Source organism: Homo sapiens, chromosome 4, assembly GCF_000001405.40.
Source record: "Homo sapiens chromosome 4, GRCh38.p14 Primary Assembly".
NCBI lineage: Eukaryota > Metazoa > Chordata > Mammalia > Primates > Hominidae > Homo > Homo sapiens.
The window spans coordinates 116,843,427-116,867,764 of NC_000004.12; the positions used below are offsets into that span (position 1 = coordinate 116,843,427).

The following is a 24,338-nucleotide window of genomic DNA, read 5'->3' on the forward strand; positions in this document are numbered from 1 at the left end:
AGAAATTAATTATTGACTGGGGATTATTTGAAGAACCAGTAGTTTCCTTTATCTATAAGACAAATCCTCTGTCATTGCCATGATCAGCGCACCAACAGTTTCTTGCATGTCATGTGCTATTCTATGACGTATGGTACCATCACTGACACCAGTATTTCAGATTGACTGCAAGTTTGTTTCAACTGTGTTTTAATATCAGTTAAAAACACCAAAAGAGAATTCAGGATAGATGTGAGTTGTTCATTTCCCTTGTTAAGTGGTAAGGTAGGAGATTGGGGAAAGATACTTGGAAAAAGGGAAGCATACAATCTTCTGGGCCACCTTGACACTTAGGTGCAAAACAGTTTGAGAACAATTAACAGAAGAATTTTGATAATCCTATAACAGAGTATATGTATTCTATGTGAATTCTGAGTTCTAAAAAATCTTAAAATAATCAGGGCTTATTGGAAAAATAAGGTTGAGCCAATCCACTTGAACCTGGTACAACTCAGAAATAACACACACACACACACACACACACACACACACACAAATTAGTAAGGGCAACAATAACAAAAACACTGAGAAGTTTGAGAAGTAACTCCATTAGCCAACGTAGGAAGCTCACTATGGCTATAGATTTCCTACAGGGATAGAAAAAAATGTGCCCTCCAAAATGAAAAATAAGGTAGAAATACTAGCTTGCGGACCCTGAGATAATGCAGATGTAGCTGCGCCTCTAAGCACTAGAAGAAGTATCAACAAGCTAGGAGCCTAGAACTATTCCAAGGTTAGGGATGTGCACCTTTAAGGATAATCTGTTACAGGCATTCATTTTATTATTTTTTTAAAAAAGAAAGAAAATAAGGATTCTCTCTGGGCAGTAGCCAAGCTTTCTCCTTTTCTGCTAAAGATTTTTAGTTTAATTTATGATAATCTGGCTCTCTTTACTATAGAAAATAGTTCATATTCTAACATATGTTCACTTCATTCAACATAATTTCCCCATTTTTCAATTGCTGATAAGTTAATTGATATTTTAGAAACATGGCAGAATACAATATATATGAAAGTTGAATACCTGGAAATTGAATTCCTCCAAATTCTCTGCTTAGTTAACTTTTTGACAGCTTTGCGTTATTCCTAGAGATACTCACACCTCAGTTGGAAGTCTAATGGCTTATACTATTGATTACTATATCATTTTGTATACTGTGAGGGAAGATTCATGGTAGAAATTTATGTGGAACATAAACGCAAAGCTTGATATATAAACCATACGGATAGGACAAATATGTTAACCACGTTTCCTTGTCTTTAACTAATTAAAAGATTACAGCAATAATCTTCCATGTGAACTATAATACATATGTTGTATCCCATGCATTTTATTCAGTTTTTTTAGATGAGTGAATGGAAGAGGGATGGAAGGATTTAAAGGATGAAAAATTTTACAGTTTGTTCCTTTCTGTCTTGAAAAATTTTTTTAAATCAGAATTCCCAACTCTTAGAATACCTATAAACTAAAGTGTATATAGACATAAATTTTTTAAATGAATTTGGGATATGGAAAATCATATATACATTAGTTGGAAGAGAAAACATTTGAGATATGAGTAACTTTATTAAGTTTATTTTAGTTACTTCCAAAATAATGGAAAAGGAAATCTCTTAGAAGTTGCTCTTGGAGATATTCTATGATTTTTGATAATCTGTAGAACATATCAGAATGAACTAATTATGTGTGGGATTAAAGAGTCCCACATTCATTATAAAAAGCCAATCCTTATTAAAATATCAAGACTAATAAGCTGGTTAAAATTGGCATTTAATAATAAAATGTCATCAGTCCCTACTGTAGACAGTTGTGATTCTAGGATTGCAACATATCTGGATAACTTCCTTATAAATCATTTTAATCATTGGATAATTAATTTTTAAATAAAACTTTTAGACGATTGATTAGAAGATTGATTATATCATCATTTATTTGAACTTACTCTTGAATAGACTTTGTGTTTATGAAACTTATATATGTTACATTATGAACAATTTTATTTATTGTGTATGCTGTCTCTCCAAGAGGGAAATAGAATGTATGTCTAACATTAATGGTAACCCCAGTAACAGCTTGGAAATATATTTATTATAATATTATAAGATTAACTCAGTGTCCTGAACAAGACAGAAATGTGTTGCTTGGATTCTTTCAAACATCTACCTAAAATTAAACGTACATTCCAGTCACATTAGAAAAATATCAAAAACTAAGTCAGAAAAACTTAAGAAAGTACAATTAAACATATATCACAACTGAGTGAGAAAGTGAGAACTCTCTGAGCAGCCTATATCTTCAACCTAATTTTCATTTTTATTTATATTTTTTATTTTGTGTGCTTTTTTTCTTTTTCACCTAATCATTTGAATTAAAAAGGCTACATAACAAATGAGCTATTCAACTAGAAGGCATCACAATATTCACACCAAAATACTGGTATTATTGAATGAATAGCTACTGGATATATTTATCGATTAACAATATTAAAACTTGCCAAAAAACTCCTGTTTCTCAGTTAAAGCTTTTATTTGGTAAATATGTATACAGTGATATGACCATTAATAAAATGTATGATGTAATAACAATGTATAGTTTATTTTTAAAATTGTAATCAACAAATACAGATTATATGTATTTATTGTGTACATGTTGTTTTGAAATATATACACTGTGAAATAGCAAAATCAAGCTAATCAAGATGCATTTTCTCACATACTTATTTTTGTGGTGAGACCACTTAAAATCTATTTTCTTAGCAATTTTCAAAAATACAATACGTTTTTATTAACTATAGTCACAATATTGTACAATATGTCTCCTGAATTTATTCCTCCTATAGCACTGAAATTTTTTATATTTTGGCCCACACGTCATCAGTCTCCTTCCTCTCCCCCAACTCCTAGTAACCACCATTCTACTCTCTATTTGTGTGAGTTCAACTTTTTTACACTACTCATATAAATGAGACCATGTGATATATGCCTTTCTGTGCCTGTCTCATGTCACTCAACACAGTGTCTCCCATGTTCATCCACATTGTCATAAATGACAGACCTTTTTTCTTCTTTCAGGCTGAATAGTATTCAAATATGTATATATAATACATTTCCTTTATCCATTTATTTGTTGATAGATACTTAATTTGATTACATATCTTGGCTACTATGAGTAACACGGTAATGAACATGGAAATCTAGTTAACTCCTTGACATACTGATTTCAATTTCTTTAAATATATACTCTGTAGTGGGATTGCTATATCTTTTGGCAGTCCTATTTTCAGTATTTTGAGGAAGCACCATACCATTTTCCATAATGGCTGTATTAATTTGCATTCCCACTAACAGTATGCAAGTTTTCTCTTTTCTTTGCATGGTTGCTATTAGCTATCTTTCGCCTTTTTGAGAAAAATCATTCTAACAGGTAAAGGGTGCTATCTCATTTTGGATTTAATTTGCATTTCTCTGATAATTAGTGATGTGGAGTATCTTTACGTATGCATGTTGGTCATTTGTATGTCTCATTTTGGGAAGTGTCTATCGAGGTCCTTTGCTCATTTTTAAAATCTGATTATTTGTGTTCTTGTTATTGGGTTATTTGAACTCTTTATATATATTTGGATATTAATGCCTTATCAGATGTATAGTAGGCAAATATTTTTTTCCATTCCATAGGTTGTGTCTTCACTCTGTTAATTTTTGCTTTTGTTATGCAAAGCTTCTTAATTTGATGTAATTCAATTTTTCCACTTTTGTTTTTGATGCTTGTGTTTTTGAGGTCTTATTCAAAATATACTTGCACATCCCACTTTTATGGAGTGTTTCCCTTAGGTTTTCTTCTGGTGGTTTCATAGTTTCAGGCTTTACATTTAACCATTTAATTTATTTTTATTTGATTTTCACATATGGTAAGAAATAGGGGTCTAGTTTAATTTTTATCAATGTGGATATCCAGTTTTTCCAACACCATTTGTTGAAGAAACTGTCCTCTTGCCAATATGTGCTTTGGGCACCTTTGTCAAAAGTTAGTCAGCTGTAAATGCATGGATGTATTTCTGCGTTCTCTACTCTGTCCTATTGGTCTATGTGTCTGTTTTTACACCAAATAACATGTTGTTTTATAGCTTTGTAGTATATTTTAAAATTAGGTAATGTGCTGTCTCTAGCTTTGTTCTTTTTGCTTAAGATTGCTCTCGCTATCTTTGTTTATTTTGTTTTGTTCTGTTTTACTTTTCCATATGAATTTTAAGATTCATATGCAGCTATAAAGAAGAATGAGATCATATTCTTTGCAGCAACATAGATGGAGCTGGAGGCCAAAATCCTAAGTAAATTAATGCAAGAACAGAAAACCAAATACCATATGTTCTCACTTATAAGTGGGAGTTAAACATTGAGCACACATGGATATAAATATGAGTACAATAGACACTGCAGACTCCTAGAGTGTGGAAGGAGGGAGGGCTTGGTTAAAAGACTACCTATCGGGTACTATGCTCACTAACTGGGTGACAGGATTTGTTCTCCAAACCTCAACATTATGCCATATTTCCATGTAACAAATGTACTCATTTAACCCCTGAATCTAAAATAAAAGTGAAAAAAAGCTTACATTTATACCAAAGTATTTTAAACTGATAACAACTTTCATTACAAAGAAAATAAGCACGTAAACAAAACTGAAAACCACTACATTTTAACTCCATCCTCTCACACGCATTTTGATTTTTTGACGTTTCAATTTATATCTTATTATTTGGCTTCTCTTGGGTGTATCCCACTGGAGCAGCAAATTGTTGTAGTTATTATCATTTTTAACCATTTTGTCTTTTAGTTTTTTACCTAAAGACATGAGTGGTTTATACATCACAATTCATCCACAATTCATACAGTTCATCCACTGTATTTTTCAGCTACAGGCTTTCTGTTTGATTTTTTAATTATTATGATTATACTTTAAGTTCTAGGGTACATGTGCACAACATGCAGGTTTGTTACATATGTATACATGTGCCTTGTTGGTGTGCTGCACCCATTAACTCGTCATTTACATTAGGTATATCTCCTAATGCTGTCTCTCCCCCCTACCCCCACCCCACGACAGGCACCAGTGTGTGATGTTCCCCTTCCAGTGTCCAAGTGTTCTCATTGTTCAATTCCCACCTATGAGTGAGAACATGCGGTGTTTAGTATTCTGTCCTTGAAATCGTTTGCTGAGAATGATGGTTTCCAGCTTCATCCATGTCCCTACAAAGGACATGAACCCATCATTTTTAGGGCTGCATAGTATTCCATGGTGTATACGTGCCACATTTTCTTAATCCAATTTATCGTTGATGGACATTTGGGTTGGTTCCAAGTCTTTGCTATTGTGAATAGTGCCACAATAAACATACGTGTGCATGTGTCTTTATAGCAGCTTGATTTATAATCCTTTGGGTTTATAATACCCAGTAATGGGATGGCTGGGTCAAATGGTATTTCTAGTTCTAGATCCTTGAGGAATAGCCACACTGTCTTCCACAATGGTTGAACTAGTTTATAGTCCCACCAACAGTGTTAAAATGTTCCTATTTCTCCACATCCTCTCCAGCACCTCTTGTTTCCTGACTTTTTAATGATTGCCATTCTAACTGGTGTGAGATGGTATCTCATTGTGGTTTTGATTTGCATTTTTCTGATGGCCAGTGATGATGAGCTTCTTTCATGTGTCTGTTGGCTGCATAAATGTCTTCTTTTGAGAAGTGTCTGTTCATATCCTTTGCTCACTTTTTGATGGGGTTGTTTGTTTTTTTCTTGTAAATTTGTTTGAGCTCTTTGTAGATTCTGGATATTAGACCTTTGTCAGATGAGTAGATTGCAAAAATTGTCTCCCATTCTGTAGGTTGCCTGTTCACTCTGATGGTACTTTCTTTTACTGTGCAGAAGCTCTTTAGTTTAGTTAGATCCCATTTGTCAATTTTGGCTTTATTATTTCAATCTCTGTTAAATTCTTGTGATGAATTTTTGAATGGCTTCTTTACGTTTTCTTGAAGTTTGTTAAGATTCCTAAAAAGAGCTATTATGAATTCTCTGTTTCAGACATCAGAAATATCTCTCTCTCCAGGGTTTGTCATTGGTCCCCTATTTAGTCATTTTGGTGAGATCAAATTTCCCTGAATGGTCTTAATGTTTCTGAACATACATCAGTGTCTGGTTGTTAAAGAATTAGTTATTTGGTCCAGGCTTTACAGTCTGGCCTTGTTTGTACATATCCTTCTTCAGATGACCTTCCAAAAATTCAAAGGCAACTGACTATTCAGTTCCCAAAGCCTCTAGTCACTGCAACCATTTCAGCACTAGAGTGTGCCCTAAGCCCAGGTTCACTGTGCCATTATTGCAGATTCTGAATTTCCCAGCCCTAATGGTTCTGGGGGAGACCAAGGAGAGTTTCACAGGTTCCCAGACAAAGTCCTTCTCTCATTTTTCACTTTTTTCCCTCAGTAAGAGTCTCTCTCTGTGCTGCAGTATCTGGAGTTAAGGGAGGGATAACAGACAATCCTGAGGCCACTATAGCTGATCCCATGCTGTATCATCCCTAGGGCTTATACAAAACCTGCAGCCACTATGGCCTTACTGTTACTGATATTTATTTAGGGCCCATGGTTGCTTTAGTCAGCTGGTGGTGAAGCAGGCTGGGACTCCAGTGTATCCTGCCGAAGCAGCAGATTCTCTTCCATCTTGGAGTGGGTCTAGAATCTGTCCTCCAGCGTCAGCCTGAAATCAATGTCATGGGATAGTGCCCCGTGCTGTGTTTTACTGTAGTGAGGCTGGTGCTGAGCTTCAGATAAGTGTCTGCACTCTTTTTCCTCTCCCTTCTCCAAGAAGACAGATTATCTCTCTTGCTGCACAGCCTGGTGCTGGGGTAGGGGTGGTGTAGGCAATGCAAGACTGTCTTTTCTACTCTCTTTATTGTGTATTTTCTTGTTATTATGCTTAAACCATATCCTGTGATCTCTTACTTGGTTTCTTTAGTTTTTGAGATGGTGTTTTCTTGCATAAATAGTTGTTTGAATTGATGTTCCTGAGGGAATTTTCACTAGAAGGTTTTATTCTACAATCTTGTTCTGTCTTCACCCTACCACTTTAATAACATCTTTACCCTGATTAACTTTTCTTCTTTCAGATAACACCACAACTTCTCTGCTCATGTCTTCATAAAAAGTTCTTGAAAGACTTGGCTTCATATGATGTCTTCCATGTACATTTTCCCATGCTCTTTGATCCTTTGTCTAAACAAGCTTTAACTACATGGTTTCACCAAAATTGCTCCTGTCAAGCTCATCAAAGACCAATATATAACATATGGATCATCCCCGTTCTTATTACATCCTCTTCCCCCCCTACTTCCAGCTCACCACATTTCTTCTCCTTTTGTCTTGCCTATTCAGATTCTACACTCTCAGAATTGTTATACTTGTTATATATATAATTCCAGGATTCATTCCTCTTTGTTCCTTTCTTTACTTTCTCCCTTGACGATTTCCTCAAACTTATATCTCCAAGATATGGCTTATCTCCTCACTTCTGTTTTTTTTTTTTTTAAATGATAGCAAATGGCTAGCATAGGTTCATGGAGGTACAATTAAAATATCAAAATTAACATATCTTCAACAGAAATTTATGTCACACAATCCTGACCTCAAACTCCACCTGTAATTTTTCCCTGCGTAACTAATGATAACCCCACCATTCCAGTTGCTCAGCTTTAAAACTTGGAATCATTCTTCTCTCTTTCTCTTGACACATGTATCTGAATACTCCTCATGGCTTACAATTAAATAATCTCTACTTCAACACCTCAGTTTAAGTCATAGGAATTTATTGTAGTAACCTTTTAACTGGTGCCCTGATTCTACTCTATTCTTTATACCACCCCCAGAATTATTCTTCTAAAATGCAAATCATTCAATTACTTAGCTTCAAATTCCCCAGTGGTTTTCTTTTTCTTTTTCTTTTTTTTTTTTTAACTTGTGTTTTAAGTTCAGGGGTAAAACTGCAGGTTGTTACATAGGTAATCTTGTGTCATGGGGGTTTGTTGTACAGATTATTTCATCACCCAGGTATTAAGCCTAGTACCCATTAGTTATTTTTCCTGATCCTCTTCCTCCTTTTATCATCTACCCTCTCAAAGGCCCCAGATTGTGTTGTTCCCCTCTATGTGTCCATATGTTCTCATAATTTACATCCCGCTTATAAAGAACATCTGGTATTTGATTTTCTGTCCCTGTGTTAGCTTGCTAAGGATAATTGCCTCCAGCTCCATCTATGTCCCTGCAGAGGACGTAATCTCGCTCCTTTCTATGGCTGCATAGTAGTCTATGGTGCATATGCACCACATTTGCTTCATCCATTCTATCATTGATGGACATTAAGGTTGATTCCATGTCTTTTCTACTGTGAATAGTGCTGCAAGGGAAGCCCAGTGGTTTTCTGAGCAAAAGACAAGTATAGATGGCTGAATGCTACCTAACTCTGATCTCTTTCTGACCTCATTATTACCCTCTCTCTCTCTTCTATAGCAGTACCAGACTCCTTACTGATTCTGAAAAATGCAAGGCATATCCTGTCTTGCAACTTTTGTTTTGTCTTTTGCCTCTACCTCAAATTTCTTCCCCCATATATCTATTTCTCCAACCTCTTCACCTCCTTGACATTTTTACTCAAATACCGCTTTCTCAATTATACCTACACCTTCCATCAATGTGGAAAATTGCATTTTACCTTCCCCATGACTCACGTGATACTATTTATGCTCATATATTTTTTCTCTACATTATTTATAACTTTCTAATATGTTACATTAACATGACTTTAAATTTATAATATACTACATTATTTATTATATTGTCATTATCTTCTTTCCAACTAGAATGTGTAATACAGAAATCATTTTAACTTTGTTTTACTGATAGACTCTAAGTGCATAGAAGAGTCCCTGCACATTCACAAATATTTATTGAATAAATTAATAAATAGCTGAATGTATATAGTATACAAATGTATTCATCGGTGACATTTTAAAGCATATACAATCATGTAAATAAGCAAGAATTAGATGATAAATAAATGCCCGCACTAATTAGATATTTTAATTTCTTTCTACAGAACAATTAGCCATGTTGAATACATGTGGATTACTTTTGATGAGGAAACATTTATAATATAAAAAATGAAAATAAAATTTATACTTTTAAATTTCAAATAATTTAATATCTGGATGTCAAATTAAGTTGAGTTTGGTGCCCTTGAAATTTAATAATTTATTGGTATATGAATCATAAGATCACTGTATCATTAAGAAATATTAGTTTGTGAATATTTGATATAAGAAAACTGACCTGTTAGATGTTATATTTTGGTGTGTTAGATACTTAACATAGTACAAGAAAGTACACAGTTAATTGTATTTTAATCTAATTATAAATATGCATTATTTTCTTTAATTTTATTATTAAAGTGTAAAAAGTCTTTCGTGCTGGGCGCGGTGGCTCACGCCTGTAATCCTAGCACTTTGGGAGGCCGAGGCGGGTGGATCACCAGGTCTGGAGATCAAGACCGTCTTGGCTAACATGGAGAAACCCCTTTTCTACTAAAAATACAAAAAATTAGCCAGGCATGGTGGCGGGCGCCTGTAGTCCCAGCTACTCGGGAGGCTACAGCAGGAGAATGGCGTGAACCCGGGAGGCAGAGCTTGCAGTGAGCCGAGATCGCGCCACTGCACTGCACTCCAGCCTGGGCGACAAAGTGAGACTCTGTCTCAAAAAAAAAAAAAAAAAAAAAAAAAAAAAAAAAAAAAAAAAACTTTCGTTATTGAAGAATAAAATGCACTGTAAACATTCTAGAGTTTGAGCTAGATGGTATAGATTCTAAGTCTAATTTCACCCCTAAGTGCACCAGAAAGCAGAGCAAGATGAAATATTTATTTTACTTACTTGAAATTCTTCACATGTAAAATTTGAGAGTTCAGTTATAAAACATCTTAGTTTCTTTCCAGCTTGAGAATCAATGATCTTTTTATTTTACTTTGTTTAGACATAAAAGTATATATTTTAATAATTTTGAGGTGAGGTGAAAACTACAAGCTTTACGCTATAGATCTAAGTAATATATACGTCTATATAATAATTGCCCATATGTTTCTCCTTAAACTTTTACATACATAACAGTAGGTGTGTGGAGAACAAAAGAAAAGCATAAACTTCATAATTAAAGTTGCAACAGATTTGTGAAAAAAATTCAAAAGCTTCTTCTCTTCTATGAATTATTATATCACAATTTTTGGTCAAAATTTTAGTATCAAAGGATGCTTTGATAAAAAGAAATAAAAATATATTAATTTAACTTTGATAATTGCAAAATTTTATCGTTTTCTTTCTTAAATTTTAGCAGTAGTCTTGATATATTATTTTAATAAAAATTATATTTTCTGGCTTCATACTGTTTTCCAAGTGATTGTACCAATTTACATTCTCACCAACTGTGTAAAAGCATTTCATTTTCTCTACATCCTCATCAAGATATCTCGTAATTTTAATTTTAATTTCTCTGATGTTTAGTGATTTTGACCATTTTTTTCATATGTTTTTTGGCCATTTGTATGTCTCCTTTTAAAAATGTCTATTCATGCTGTTTGGATGAATAGACATGTTACATTTTTTTGAGGTGTTTGGGTTCCGTGTATGTTATGGAACAAGACATAAGTCCTGTACCAGATGCAAAGTCTGCCTGTATATTTTCTCCCACTTTGTAGGTTATCTGTTCATTCTGTTGGTTATTTCCTTTGCCTGTGCAGAACTTTTTTAGTTTAATTAAGTTCCATTTGTCTGTTTTTCTTTTTTGTTGTTGTTGTCGTTGCCTATGCTTTTGAGTTCTTAATCATTAATTCTTTGCCTGGACCAATGTCCAGAAGTGTTTTCCTGAGGTTTTTCTTCTAGTATTTTTATAGCTTCAGATCTTATATTTAAGTCTTTAATCCAACTTAAGTTGATTTTTTTTATATGTGGTGAGAGGTAGGGGTCCAGTTTCATTCTTCTGCATATGACAATCCAATTTTTCCAGCACCATTTATTAAAAAGTGTGTCTTTTTCCCAGTATAAGTTTTTCTCAACTTTGTCAAATATCATTTGGCTATGGTTAAATGGCTTTATTTTGGGGTTTTCTATTATGTTCCTTTGGTATATGTGACTAATTTCACAACTGTATTATGCTGTTTTGGTAAATACAGCCTTGTAGAATAATTTGAGGTCAGGTAATGTAACACTTCCAGCTTTGTTCTTGTTGCTTAGGAATGTTTTGGCTATTTGAGCTCTTTTTTGGTTTCATATGGATTTTAGGACTGGTTTTCCTAATTCTGTGAAAAATGACACTAGTTTTTTGCTGGGGTTTGCATTGAATCTGTAGATTGCTTTGGACAGTATGGTCATTTTAACAATATTAATACTTCTGATCCATGAGCATATGATTTTTTCTATTGATTGTGTCATCTACAATTTTTTTCATCAGTGTTTTGTAGTTTTTCTTGTATAAATCTTTCATATTATTGTTTAAATATATTCCTATGTATTTCTTTCTTTGCAGCTATTGTACATGGGATTGCCTTTTTGATTTTGTTCTCAGCTTGGTCATTATTAATGTGTAGAAATGTTACTGATTTTTGTACATCGATTTTGTATCATGAATCTCTTCTTAAGTCATTTATCAAATCAAAAAATTTTTATAAAGTCTTTAGAGTTTTTTAGATACGAAATCATATGATTAACTGTTCTTAAAAATACTCTTATTTTGATATGTCTGCATAAGCACACAAAGAAGGGACCTATTGTATACATAGAGACTGAATTCAACTTTGTCAGGAAATACATAAGACAATCAAATTCCAAGTTGGGGAAGTATTATGTGGAATATCTATGAGAGATAAATGGTCCAATTGTATAATATTTTTACATAGATAAATAATTATAGACTACTGTTAGTGTTTAGTAAATGTGTTCTGAATTTACACAAAATACTCTCTTAGGCAAAACAATGGAAAAGAGCAGGAATTGCATTCTCCATGCCTAAAGTTTACATGATTCTTTAGGTGTTTTCTTTCTTTTTTCAATCTCTTTTATAACATATTGCCTAGGACCTGTCCATTGTAAATAATTATTAACTATTGCTTTTAAAGTGACATTGAGGTAAGCATAGGAAAAAGGGAATTTTAAGTGGGCATTTTGCAGTTTTCATTTTCATAAGCCTATATATTTTTGGAAGTTTCTAGTGTTACTTATTTGAAGATCTACCACCCAGCTCCCTGCCTCCAGTACCAGTGTCAAAAGAATTGATAGAATATATCCACTAACATTTAGAACATGTTACATATGAGAAATTAAACTAGAGAATTTTAGTCCTTATCTAATTAAATTCTCACTACAACATAAGGTAGCTATTTTTATCCCAATTTCGCAATGAAGAGTCAATGTTTTGGTTTAAATTAATTACCTAAACCTAAAAAGTCATTGAAATTTTTCTACCATATACACAGGTTCTGATAGGCACCCTACACAGGTATGTGTATGTATTCATAATAAATGTAAGAGTGCTCTACTATAGATTTTACATAGCAATTATTCAATGTTCTTAGAAATTTGATTCTAATAGATGATTAGCAAAGGCCAATTTAACTACGATTTCTTTTTTTTTAATAATTTATCTCACTTGTAATATTCTGGCCACTAGAATGTCAGTATTTTAGAGAAATCAATCCTATTAAGTATTTTTGGTGTAAACAAGCAACATATAACATCTTTAACATTGACTTTATATTACTTTTAATTTAGAAGTAAAAACTTGTTCTCCAAATAGAATGTTGTGTTTCTTATATGAAATTTTGTATTTGTGTAACTTGCTGAAACGTTAATATGGAAATGATGATGTTAAACAATACTTTTGATAACTCTCTAAGTGTAGTAGGAATCACGATTTCTGAAAAAGAAAATTAGTTATGTTGGTAAGATTATTGCATAATTTCCCACAGGATCTCTATATCAGAGTTCTTTTTATTATCACTTAGAACAAGTTGTCTACGTTCATTTTAAATTTAAAGTAATGCCAAATACAACATCATAAGGCAGCTCACAGAACAAGCAAAGACATCTGTTAATGGTACCATGAATAGTTATGAACTGTGTTACTGAAAAGCCTTTGCTAGCAAAATATTGCTTCCTAATTTATTTTACAGCAATGAAAGCCTCATTTTTCATAGTTTTGAAGTTGCATTCAAATATTCCAATAATTTCGATGCAATCACTTCTATACAGCAAATTTTATTACAGAATATAAGATGGAATTGCTAATGTTCTCTTGATTGATAGCTTCTCCATCACCAGTTTTTTTCTTACCCTTTTCTTGCTATTTTAATGTTCAAATAATATTTATGTATTTTTAATGCAATTTAGAAAGTCTTATGTGCAAATTTAATATGAATATCAAATACATAAAATTGAAACATTATAAATGTTCTCTTGTTGAGCTCTGGGGCTGTCACTTTTTTCCATATTTTTAGTAGCTGAAATAATTTTATACAAGAAAACTGAAACTTTATGAAAATATTCTTACACTTAATATTTACTTTAAAAATATATAAATAAGAGATAAATAAAAATGGCAATTTCCCTTATAGAACAGAATAATAAAAATATGTTACAATGTGTGCAACTTTACCTTTTTCAAATAGATTATTTACCACTTCCAATCACATGTTAGGGGTAGAGATTATGTTGACATATATGAATTTATTTTTATTCCTGAATCAGAAAGCGTAAAATAGAATAATTTAACCCCAAATATGTAACTCATGACTTCCTAGTCAAATATTAGTGTTTACCTAAATATTGTATTTTGAGATTCAGTAAAGTTTTGTAGAACAAATTATTGTTATTTCATCTATAAAATTGTAACGATAACAATATTATTTGACAGCACATTTAGGTATATGTGTAAATGAGTTTATTTCATTTCAAAATGCTCCTAGATATAAACAGTTAAGGTTTCATTAAAATTAAATAGAAAAGAAGCAGCAGCATTACAAGAGTGTTTCATGATAATAAGACCATGATAGAAATTATAAGTAATGATATGTTTTGTAATGTAAGAAATAACATGGCATGTTAGGAAAAAGAGGATGTAGGTTAAATGTGCAAGTCAGACAATGACATCGGCATCATCATCATCATCATATTGATGTTGTTGTTGCAAATCTAATATTATAATTTATACTTCAATAATATAACATGCCAAAAATATTTTTCAGGGCTTTAGATACAGTTATATGTCTGATTACAGAATAACTGTCAGGAAAATGCCATTGTTATCTATTGTTTACACAAGATGAAAAATATTGTGAAATCATACAACTGATATATGATGACACCAGGATTTGAACCCAACTTGACAGTTACATGAGCCTATCATTTTAATTGTTAAATATAAAGAGTTAAGTATAATAGTTTTTAAAACTTGATTCTTTTACAAGCAGACCACAAGTGGAAAGGAAAGGCTGTACATACGAAGCTGGAAAACGACTTCTTAACTAACCAGCTGATACCATGATACATCTTCAGGTAGTCATCTCAAGCTACATACGGCTCTTGACAGATGCTGTAGCTTCTTATCTACAAGAAAGTGGAGTGATGAGTGAGCCTGCCATGCCATGCTGTCTCTACTCAGTGGCTAATGAAACTGTCATGACCACATATTGGGAGCAAGTAACATGTTTTGTATTTCAGTTCCAAGATTTAATTGTATGGACAAATGGATAGTATGTCAACTTCCACAAACATTGGTTCTTTAAGGTGAGGGGGTTCCTCTTGAAAGGTAATGTATTTTTGACTATGGAGAATGCAGTCAAAACTGACAGTGGCCTCTATTTTTGCATCATTGAGCACAAGCAGTGATTGAATGACATAAAAAGCACCCTATAATTGGATATTAAACCAGCTGGGATACCAGTGTTCTAACATCACCTGGGCTCTCTACCTCTGGTCAAATGTACCTTAGAGTCACAAGCCAGTAGTTACTTCGTTAATACAGCCAGCTAAACCCACCTGAAGACAGTGTAGAAAAGAAAAGGACACAACCCACCATCTCCCTACTGCACTCTTACCCAACAGATGGAAATGGAACTATGACAGTCTTCAAATGTCCCTTGGAATAGTAATCAAACTCAAGTGTCCTTGACTCAAAACATTTGTAGATGATCACCACTGAGAACTTTTATGTTGAAGTCAGTAAATCTGCTGTGGTGCTGCTCATTTTTTTGGTTGTCATGACTACCAAAAAGTATGTATACACCAGACAACCTCTAGCAACTAAATATAGTTTCACTGACTAGTCCTTAAATTGGAGCTTTACAAAGTGCAGCTGAAGGGCATGTCTCCGCAGAAGACAATACCTACATTAGAGGAGAAGCTTTACTTCATAGATTAAGATCCCATGGCACTCTAGGGCATTACTTCCACTACTTCAGGGATCATGTATTAATAGGTCGGACCCCTTTTGAGCTCCAGGGCAATTTTCTGTGTCACTTTTATCTGATATTCCAACCTGTCAGTGACATTTGGGTAGAGTGACTCTCTAGCTCAAATCTTGTACAGCCAACTTTGTTGTAATATAGTCCTAACACTTTATTCCAAAACTGTCTCAATCTTTCTGAATATTGCAGAGCTCTCCCCCAAACATGAACATTACACAATTGTACATTCTCTTTAGATCCCATGAATATTGTATCCAAAAAGAAAATATTCAATAAGGAGCCAGGAAATGAACTCTTATACTCACGACCAACGCTGTGAAAGAGAGACGAATAGCTCGTAAAATCAGCAAATCTGATTTCATGATTACCTTTTTACTTGTTTTATATCTTGTGTATTAGAGAGATATATTATGAGTAATATTAAGAGTAATTGGTTCACAAAGTTATGGAAGATGAGAGGTCTTACAATCTGCCATCTGCAAACAGGAAACCCAAAAAAAACCTGTGACGTAATTCAGTCCAAGTCTGAAAACTTAAAAACCAGGAATGCCAATGTAAATTGCCGTCCAAGGGCAGAAGAAGATGAGATGAGATGACCCAGTACAAGCAGTGAGGTAGAAAAAAATGGATAAATTCTTCTTTTTCTCTGCCTTTGATTCTATTCAGGTCCTCAGTGAATTTGATAAAGCACATCCACAAATAGGAAAGGCATCTGCTTTACTTAGTTCACCAGTGCAAATAATACAAATAATAATCTCATCCGGAAACACCTTCGCATACACCTCCAGAAGTAATATCTAATTTGGGAAACTCTTGTCCCAGTCAAGTTGACACGTAAAATTAACCATCATATCCTGTAACTTAAAGTTATAATTTTTTAGAATTCTCCAATCATAGGCGTGCACAGGATTTTATATCCCCTTTGGGAAAATGGAAGTGAGTCTAATTTATCTTTATAGGTGGATCTGGTTTCTCATGGTTCTAGAAATATAAATATAAAGTGTTTTCCCTGGAAAGAGGACAGATATCTTGGAAGTTAGAAAAAAAAAAAACTAGAAAACCACATTTGCCATGTGTAATTTCTGGTGCCATATCTCGTCTGCAGGGTTATGAGTATGGACCAAGTTGACACCAGGGGAAGAAAATAATTGCCATATGACTCAACACATCTATGCTATGCCTTTTATGTCTGTGCTAGGTACATATGTAGACAACTGGCAGGCTCTCTGAACTAATTTTTAGAATGAGGCATGGCAGAAATTAGAAGAAAAAAGAAAGAGAGTAAGGAAAAAGGCTCTTTGCCCTAGAAAAGTTATTTTGCAAATACAGTCCTGTTGTTTGAGAGTGTCAATAATTTTGACCAAAATTATAAATTTTAAAGTGTTCTCAAGCTACTTTGATATTTAAAATAGTTTTTTAAAAAATGGTCTCTTTCCTGTCCAATCAATTTTAATATTATTCCTTTCTTACAAATCAATTATTATTATTTTTTGCTTTTCCATGGGAATTAAACAAAAGTTTAGAGTAAGCATATCTTTACGCTTGGTCAGAAGCATGGTCAGCTTATTTTCACATAAATTTCCAAGTGATAGAGGTATATTTCTACACGAACATTTAACAAGCCTTTCGAATTAATTTTGATTTCAATTTGAATACACTCATATAATTCATGCTTTGTGTTCAGAATTACGCACACCATAGTGGTCTAGCAAGGGAGGATGCTTGCTGTCTAAGGCAACATTTTTGAGGCCATTCTGCAGAGTCCTAGGAAATTAGTAGGTCCTCTTAATAAACGTCTGTGGGCAAGGAAATTTGAGAAACATGTATACCAGGTTTCTCAAATTGTACCAATCTTATCTGGTCTAACTATATTTTTTATTTACACTTCATTGATTATTTTTCTTCTTTTAAATTCAAGCCAACATTAATAAACCTGGAGATTTGAAATTATAGCCCAAATGTGTATCTTCTCTGGAAAGATCTGGCTACATTTGTTGGCATTTGTGTTTGATCATGGCTCTACTACATTAGGTCACACCCTCTAGTGCCAGCCTCCTGGCCTTCTCTGCATGCTTACTTTTGTTATCTGCCTAGTTTCAGTAAGGCTTTGATTTAATGTTGCCTGCTTCATATCCATCCCAAAGAGTTGTAATACACATTAAAGGTCTTGGCTATTTGATTTACTTTGTTTAATCCAGCATTTACGAAACAGTTTTTAGCATGTGACACAATGACTATTGGCATACCCACTAGAATTCTGTGAAACAGAACATAAGGGAGCATAGCGTCAACTGGATGGCACACAGAGTTAGCAGTAGGACCTTGAGTTCTATATGTAGACTGACAGTTGACTTTCTAGCAACATATCTAGCATTGGTAATTCAGTAAATAATTTCAATGGTGTTGCATTCGTTAATCTCCTGCTATGTAGTATCTTTTATTTTTTAATAACGTTTATTTTTTTCAAAAAAGTTGATACTGAATACATTGCCTATCAATTTATTTATTTTTTTAAGAGTCAGAGTCTCACTCTGTCACCCAGGCTGGTGTGCAGTGGTGTTATCATGATTCACTGCAGCCTCCAAATCCTTGGTTCAAGCGATTCTCCTGCCTCACCTTCCTCAGCAGCTAGGACCACAGGTGTGAACCACCATATCCAGATTATCATCTTATAATGTAGAAAAAAATTGTTAATACTTGAGAGGTAGAATGGGTTAGTGGGAAAAAAGATGTATTTAGTTAACATAAAATCTTCTTCTGCAAATATACTAAGGTCTTAGAATATACTGAATTTTGTTTTGTTTATGATGCTTTGATACAGAATTGATATCCCACTTTCTACAGTCTATCTTCAGACATTAATAAGAGAGTGGTGAAATTAGAATCGTGTATTTAAACACTAAAAAACAACTTTGAGAAGTAGCAGAACCAGTCTTTCACTGATGACTGTAAATATTGTTGGAAAAATTTTGTAAATACAAGAAACTCTGAAGGACTCTTAGTGTCTGTGTAGCTTTATTTGTATGTATAGTCATTAATAATATTTTTTCATTTAATAAAATTGATTCTTTTTATGCTTTCTGCATTTTCATATTCACAGTTCTAAACTCTTATTTTTTGTTTTCTTCAACATTTCTAACTTTTCAGAGAAGTATTTTGTCTAAATTATGTATAAAAAGTAACTGGCATTATGAAAACAACAGATATTAAGCATTGTAAAAATGTATGTTTATTCAATGAGTTGAGTGGATTGCAATTCAGTCATGATTGAGGATGATAGAAATAATTTTCCCTTTACCTATATGATATTTCAATATGTATGTACTAGAAACAGCTTGAAATTAATATTATGATTTTTTTACAACAAAAGTTTACCTGACTTAAGTATGATCAGTTTTAAATAACTGTATTGTTCAGGTGAGAATATTAACCACTTCAAATGACTGATTGTACTTAATAGTACTTATTGGAAGCAACAATAAATGTATACGTACATATACACACACACACACATACACATACCCACACACTAGCCTGTGTAATATGCATATAGACACTAGCTTGAGAGCAAAATTATCAGATACCTTTACACAAACAAGGATTATTTTATTAATACTTTCCCTAAAAATAGATAATATTTTCAAACCAAAAAATGTGTTTTTTTTTCTACTATACGTAAAAAATAATGTTTGCAGTTCACCCTAACTGATATCTAGGGAAAGCTTTTACACTTAGGCATTAAAGTTTCAAAAGTCCAAAAGCAAATGCTGACAACAGCTCTGGAAATAGAGCATAGGTCAAAGTCTGAGATCTGTTGCACTGAAATAGCTCTTAAAAGCATCCTCAGTGATCTACATGTTTCTAAAGCCAATATACACTTCATAGTTTTTTCATTCATCATGGTAGACTAAGCTCTGCTTTTGAATAATCCCTTTACTTAGAAAATACAGAATAATTATCAGCTGCTGTAAAAACAAAATTTTATTAACATATTCTTCTGAAAACGTAAAAATCCTCAGAAATCATGCAGTCTCAATTTAGTTTAAACATGCTAATAATGTCATAATCTTTAGCTTGCTGTTGAATTTTTTTTACAGTTCTGCTGATAATTTCTGAAAGCAAATCCTCTAAAATAGAACATACTTAAAATGAATTAGGTAGAGTATTAAAATAGTTCTGTAATTACTATGAAACTTATTTCAGTGTTTCATTTATGGAGTAGCTTGAAATGCTCGTTTAGTCAATTATGTATATATATTTTTAAACATGTTTTAAAAAGCCATTCCAACCTTGTTGAAATGTTTTAGAAGTGCACACACTCATACTACATCAAGTAAAATAGAATTAAGGATTTTCCTTACAATGTACATTTCATTTTGTCCAGCCTAAGACAGATCTTAAGCACACGTTAGTATCTTAAAGAAACATCAAAGAATAACTATACCCAGGGGAGAGGATAGTCTTACTACATCTGTCTTACTGAAAATGCTGACCCAGGACACATGACTTCTTTTTCAAAGATAAGAATGCTAAAATACTCAAACTCTGATAAATCTGTTTCTTGGCTTGCTATTAGAATGTGGTCAGTTCAACAGTATTTAGTAACAAGATGTAGAACATATGATCTTTCAATGTTTTGCCTTTCTGAATATTTTATTATATAGAAAAATTTGAATTATCTGATATGACTGAAGACACAATTAAGTTAATATACTGATTGGTTTAGCAATATTATTGGCAATAATTTCTCTTTATCTTTCTATTCTTTCGTATTCCTGAAATGTAGTGTAGAATTTCCAAAATATAAAGAATCAAAATAGCACTATGAATAAATAATCTTGCTTCTTTTGTACATATATATTCACTGTAACAAGTCTAATAAGTTCTATTCTTAATATAAGATAGAACTCATGTATGTGATATAAATTCAAGTAATTTGTAATTATATTGCAATTTAAATTAAATAACTTCACAATACGCACTAACAAAATATTTTATCCAATAAGGAATATTATAATAAAGTCTAAATTAGCAAATTGAAAACTGTTTAAAATTAAATATTAAAATCATATATTTTAAGTTTTAAAATGTAACAGAATGTGGAATAAGAAAGAAGTATCTGGAAAGGTTGATTATTCAAATTGAAAGTAGCTGATGACTTTTTTGCGGGGGGCACAGGACACTTAAACTCACACTTGACTAGACTTGAGGATGCTTTCTGCTTTTATTTTTAATGATAAAAATAGAAAAAAAGGAAAGACATTCAGATATATTAACATTGTGATTTGACACTTTTCTTTCTATTTCTTGAACTTTGTTCATTCTTCATCACTTAACTTCTATCTTTTCATCTCCCGTACCCAGTGCCTGTGAAAGTCCTTGAAATGTCAACTTCTTATAGTTATCACAGTGGTTATGTTCATGTAGTTATAGAAATAGCCCTGTTAGAGGGTAGGAAGCTTGCCGACTTCTGAAATTAGGCCAAAATCACACTTTCTTGAGGGAGTTTTTACTTTGATAATAATTGAATCATAATCACACCTCCCCAAAACACTAAGCACAGTGTTTTATATGCTTATGTATAGTAAAATTCTGAGGTTTTAAAGAAGCTATGGTTTGGGATTTGGGTTTACCCATAGTGTTTGTTGCAGATTTTTCTAGGAAACAGCCATCATTCTGCCATCGAATGTTTGTACTATTGTACACATAGGCTTGTTAGTAACATAAATAAAGCTGCTTATTCTAATGGTGTTCAATTTAACATATCCTCCTATTCCTGGACAAAAATTTAAGCTTCTCTAACCTCTGTAAAATCTCTATTCTGTTTCTCAGTAAGGCCTGAGTTATTAGAATTTTTTTCCTCTTTACAACAGATACTACTTCAGCAGGGGAAAAGGGAAAAGAGGGGAATTAGTTTGTTCTTGCTATTTAATAACCTGGGGAAATTCAAATGAAGAAGAACAAACATTAGACTAACTAAACACCTAATATATGATTGTGTCCTTTCTGGTCTCCTGAAGTCAAACATATTGTAAGTATTGGATAAAGCTAAATAAATTTAGATCTCAGCAATTGATTAGTCAGAAGAGCATGACATTAACTAAACTTAATGAAAGAGAAACCTTCTCCTAATTAATTGTACATTCATAGATTACAGGCCATGAACAGCTGGAACAAATGTACCTGTATCCTAACAACTTGAAAGCAAAAAATCTTTCATTTTCCTTTATATATTTTATTTTGTTAGTATTATTATTACTAGATACCATTAAGGTTATACTTTATCTAGAAGACAATTGTGATACAAATCAAGATTACTGTAGATTTTAAATTCTGAGACTACTGATTTTATTTTATCAAGGTATAATTTACATACCATAAGTCACTCTTTTAAAGTTGTTAGCAGACTCTCAAAGTTATACAATCATTACTACTACCTAATATAGAAATTTTTCATCACCCCAAAGAGAAATTCTGTTCCCATAAGCAATCACTCTACCATCTTCCCATCCCCCAGTTTCTAGAAGCTATTACTTTCTATCTACTGAAGTTTCCTGGAAAATTTTTGGATATTTGTGATTAGGTTTTGGTCTGTAGATTACAGGCTGAAGAAGTGGTCATATTTCCTTTTGTTTATCAATTTATAATTTACTCAACAGTGTTCTTATAGCTATATGACTCACTGTAACATTGAAAAATTGGGGTCCCATAGATATTTAAGATTGGATTCATCTGGATTTATAGGATTTAAAATATTTTAGCGATGGAGCTACTAAATACTTCATTTAAAAAATGAAGTAAATATGATTAGAATCTAACCTTTTCATTCCAGTTCCATGGAGAAGAACATATGTGCTCTGATTTGACCAGAGAGCTCAGGAAGGTACAACAGGGAATCTATGGGTTGTGCTAACTGAACATAATTATATTTTAACAGCACAGGACAGCCATATGCTGAGAGAACAACCAAACACATGCAGTGCAGGTTTTGATCTGGCTAAAAAGAGCTAAGAGTTATAATGAGAGAGGAGAAAGTAAGAAACTGGTCAGTCAGGCAGACAGTTAGGGTGGGTTGTTGGTGAAACTCCTTCAAATCAAGAACAGCCTGCAAATCAAACTGCAGGCCCTACATAAGAAAGAGCCCGCATCCTTAAATGGAAATGCTTACTCTATGAACCCAGATGAACAAATTCCACTCCTTTTTAGGATACATTTCTGTCTCCTTAGCACACCCTAGTCTCTTACTTTTTATCTATTTTACATATGCCTACCTTTCTGTAATTGGTTGCGGGCTGTCTTCATTTACATAGGGTGAATCATCACTTCAGCCCCTCATTGGTCCTGGGCCAAGTTCCCAAGCCAAGCCTTCAGCTCCAACTCCAACTGGTTCTTTACACTTTCATGCTCTTTCTAAGTGGTAATTTCTCCAATATGGCCTACAGACCAGTCAGCACATTCCTCCCCTTCCAGTCCATAAAAAACCCCAGACTCAGCCTCATAGCTGGCAACCCTGTTTTGGGCCCCCACTCTGCTACAGAGAGCCTTCCGCTTTTACTTATTAAACTTTCACTCCAACCTCACCCTTGGTGTCCATGCTCCTTAATTTTCTCAGTCTTGATACAAAGAACTCCATGTAATACCTCAGACAACAAGACTGCATCAACAACTGTTATTTGGGTGGATGTGTTTTATATAGAAATTTTTGCAGCAATAAAAGATTATTTTAAAAAGTTTACGGATGTGCAGATGTTTAATATTTGAAGAACTCGAAGGTGTAGACACAAAGGCAGTTCCAGTGTTGAACCATGGATCTGGATAGGATGGGAGAAAGTCAGGGGCATATTGGTAACTAGTTGTAAATATTATATTTATAATCAAAGGTGTCTCTTTAAAGTGTCTGAGTTTAGATGTAATATAAATAAGGGAAAGATAAAGTTTATAGTTAGTAGAGTTCACATTGAATGATACGTTGGATTTAAGATTTTAGAGTTGCAGTAAGTTGAGTTTAAGGGATGAACATGTTTTAGCTAAAGTGGAGTTGAGTTTAGATCCTTGAAAATTCCTTGTCAAAAAATTATTCAAATCTTTGAAATAAACAAAAAAGACTACTGAATGTTTCTTCATGACATATTGAGTTTAACTTTTTTTTTTGTCTTGGTAATTGTAGGAATCGAGGTTAACTTGGAGATTTTAGATAGCTGGAGGTATACATAAATTCTGCCCAGGGAATAGATTGTCTCAAACAATGAAGATTATTGGCCCTTTAGGACATTAATAAATTTTTTATGTAATCCAGAAATCTTAACTTTTATTGTTAGAAATGCCTATATATGCCCGACTTCCATAATGCTATTTAGAACACATTTAATATCTTACTCTTTTACTCATTAATTTATCTATAAAATAAAATATTTTGTATGTGGTTGCATTATACTTGGCTAAGAATCATTATTTCACATTCTGAAAAGTATACTTTAGCAATTTTTCAGGTTCCATCAGGATGTCCTTGTGGAAGCACCATATAAAGCTAAGTAAACTGTGCTGCCAGTTTATATCTACTAGGCTATTTAAGACCTATCATATCTTTTCTTGGTTGCTAGACTGAAACAAGCAACAATAGAACGTTAACTTTGCTGCTTATGTGGTTAATTATTTCTACTAATTTTGTGATATTTTTATTTCTGATTTCCATACAGCTGAAATGTTATTCCTCATTGGTGAAAGCAATGAATGGGAATTGATTTTG

General features: G+C 33.1%; 1 long non-coding RNA gene and 1 pseudogene across 4 annotated transcripts in view; one reads left to right on the forward strand and one right to left on the reverse strand.

The window, feature by feature from the left end:
- Positions 1 to 24,338, reverse strand: part of LOC107986306 (uncharacterized) — a 201,750-nt gene that overhangs the window by 92,477 nt on the left and 84,935 nt on the right. For all 4 annotated transcript variants that reach the window (XR_001741797.2, XR_001741800.2, XR_001741798.2 and 1 more), the window contains one exon: positions 14,628 to 14,732. This is a non-coding gene — a long non-coding RNA (uncharacterized LOC107986306). The remainder of the gene's footprint in view (positions 1 to 14,627; positions 14,733 to 24,338) is intronic.
- Positions 14,670 to 15,543, forward strand: HAVCR1P2 (hepatitis A virus cellular receptor 1 pseudogene 2; annotated as a pseudogene).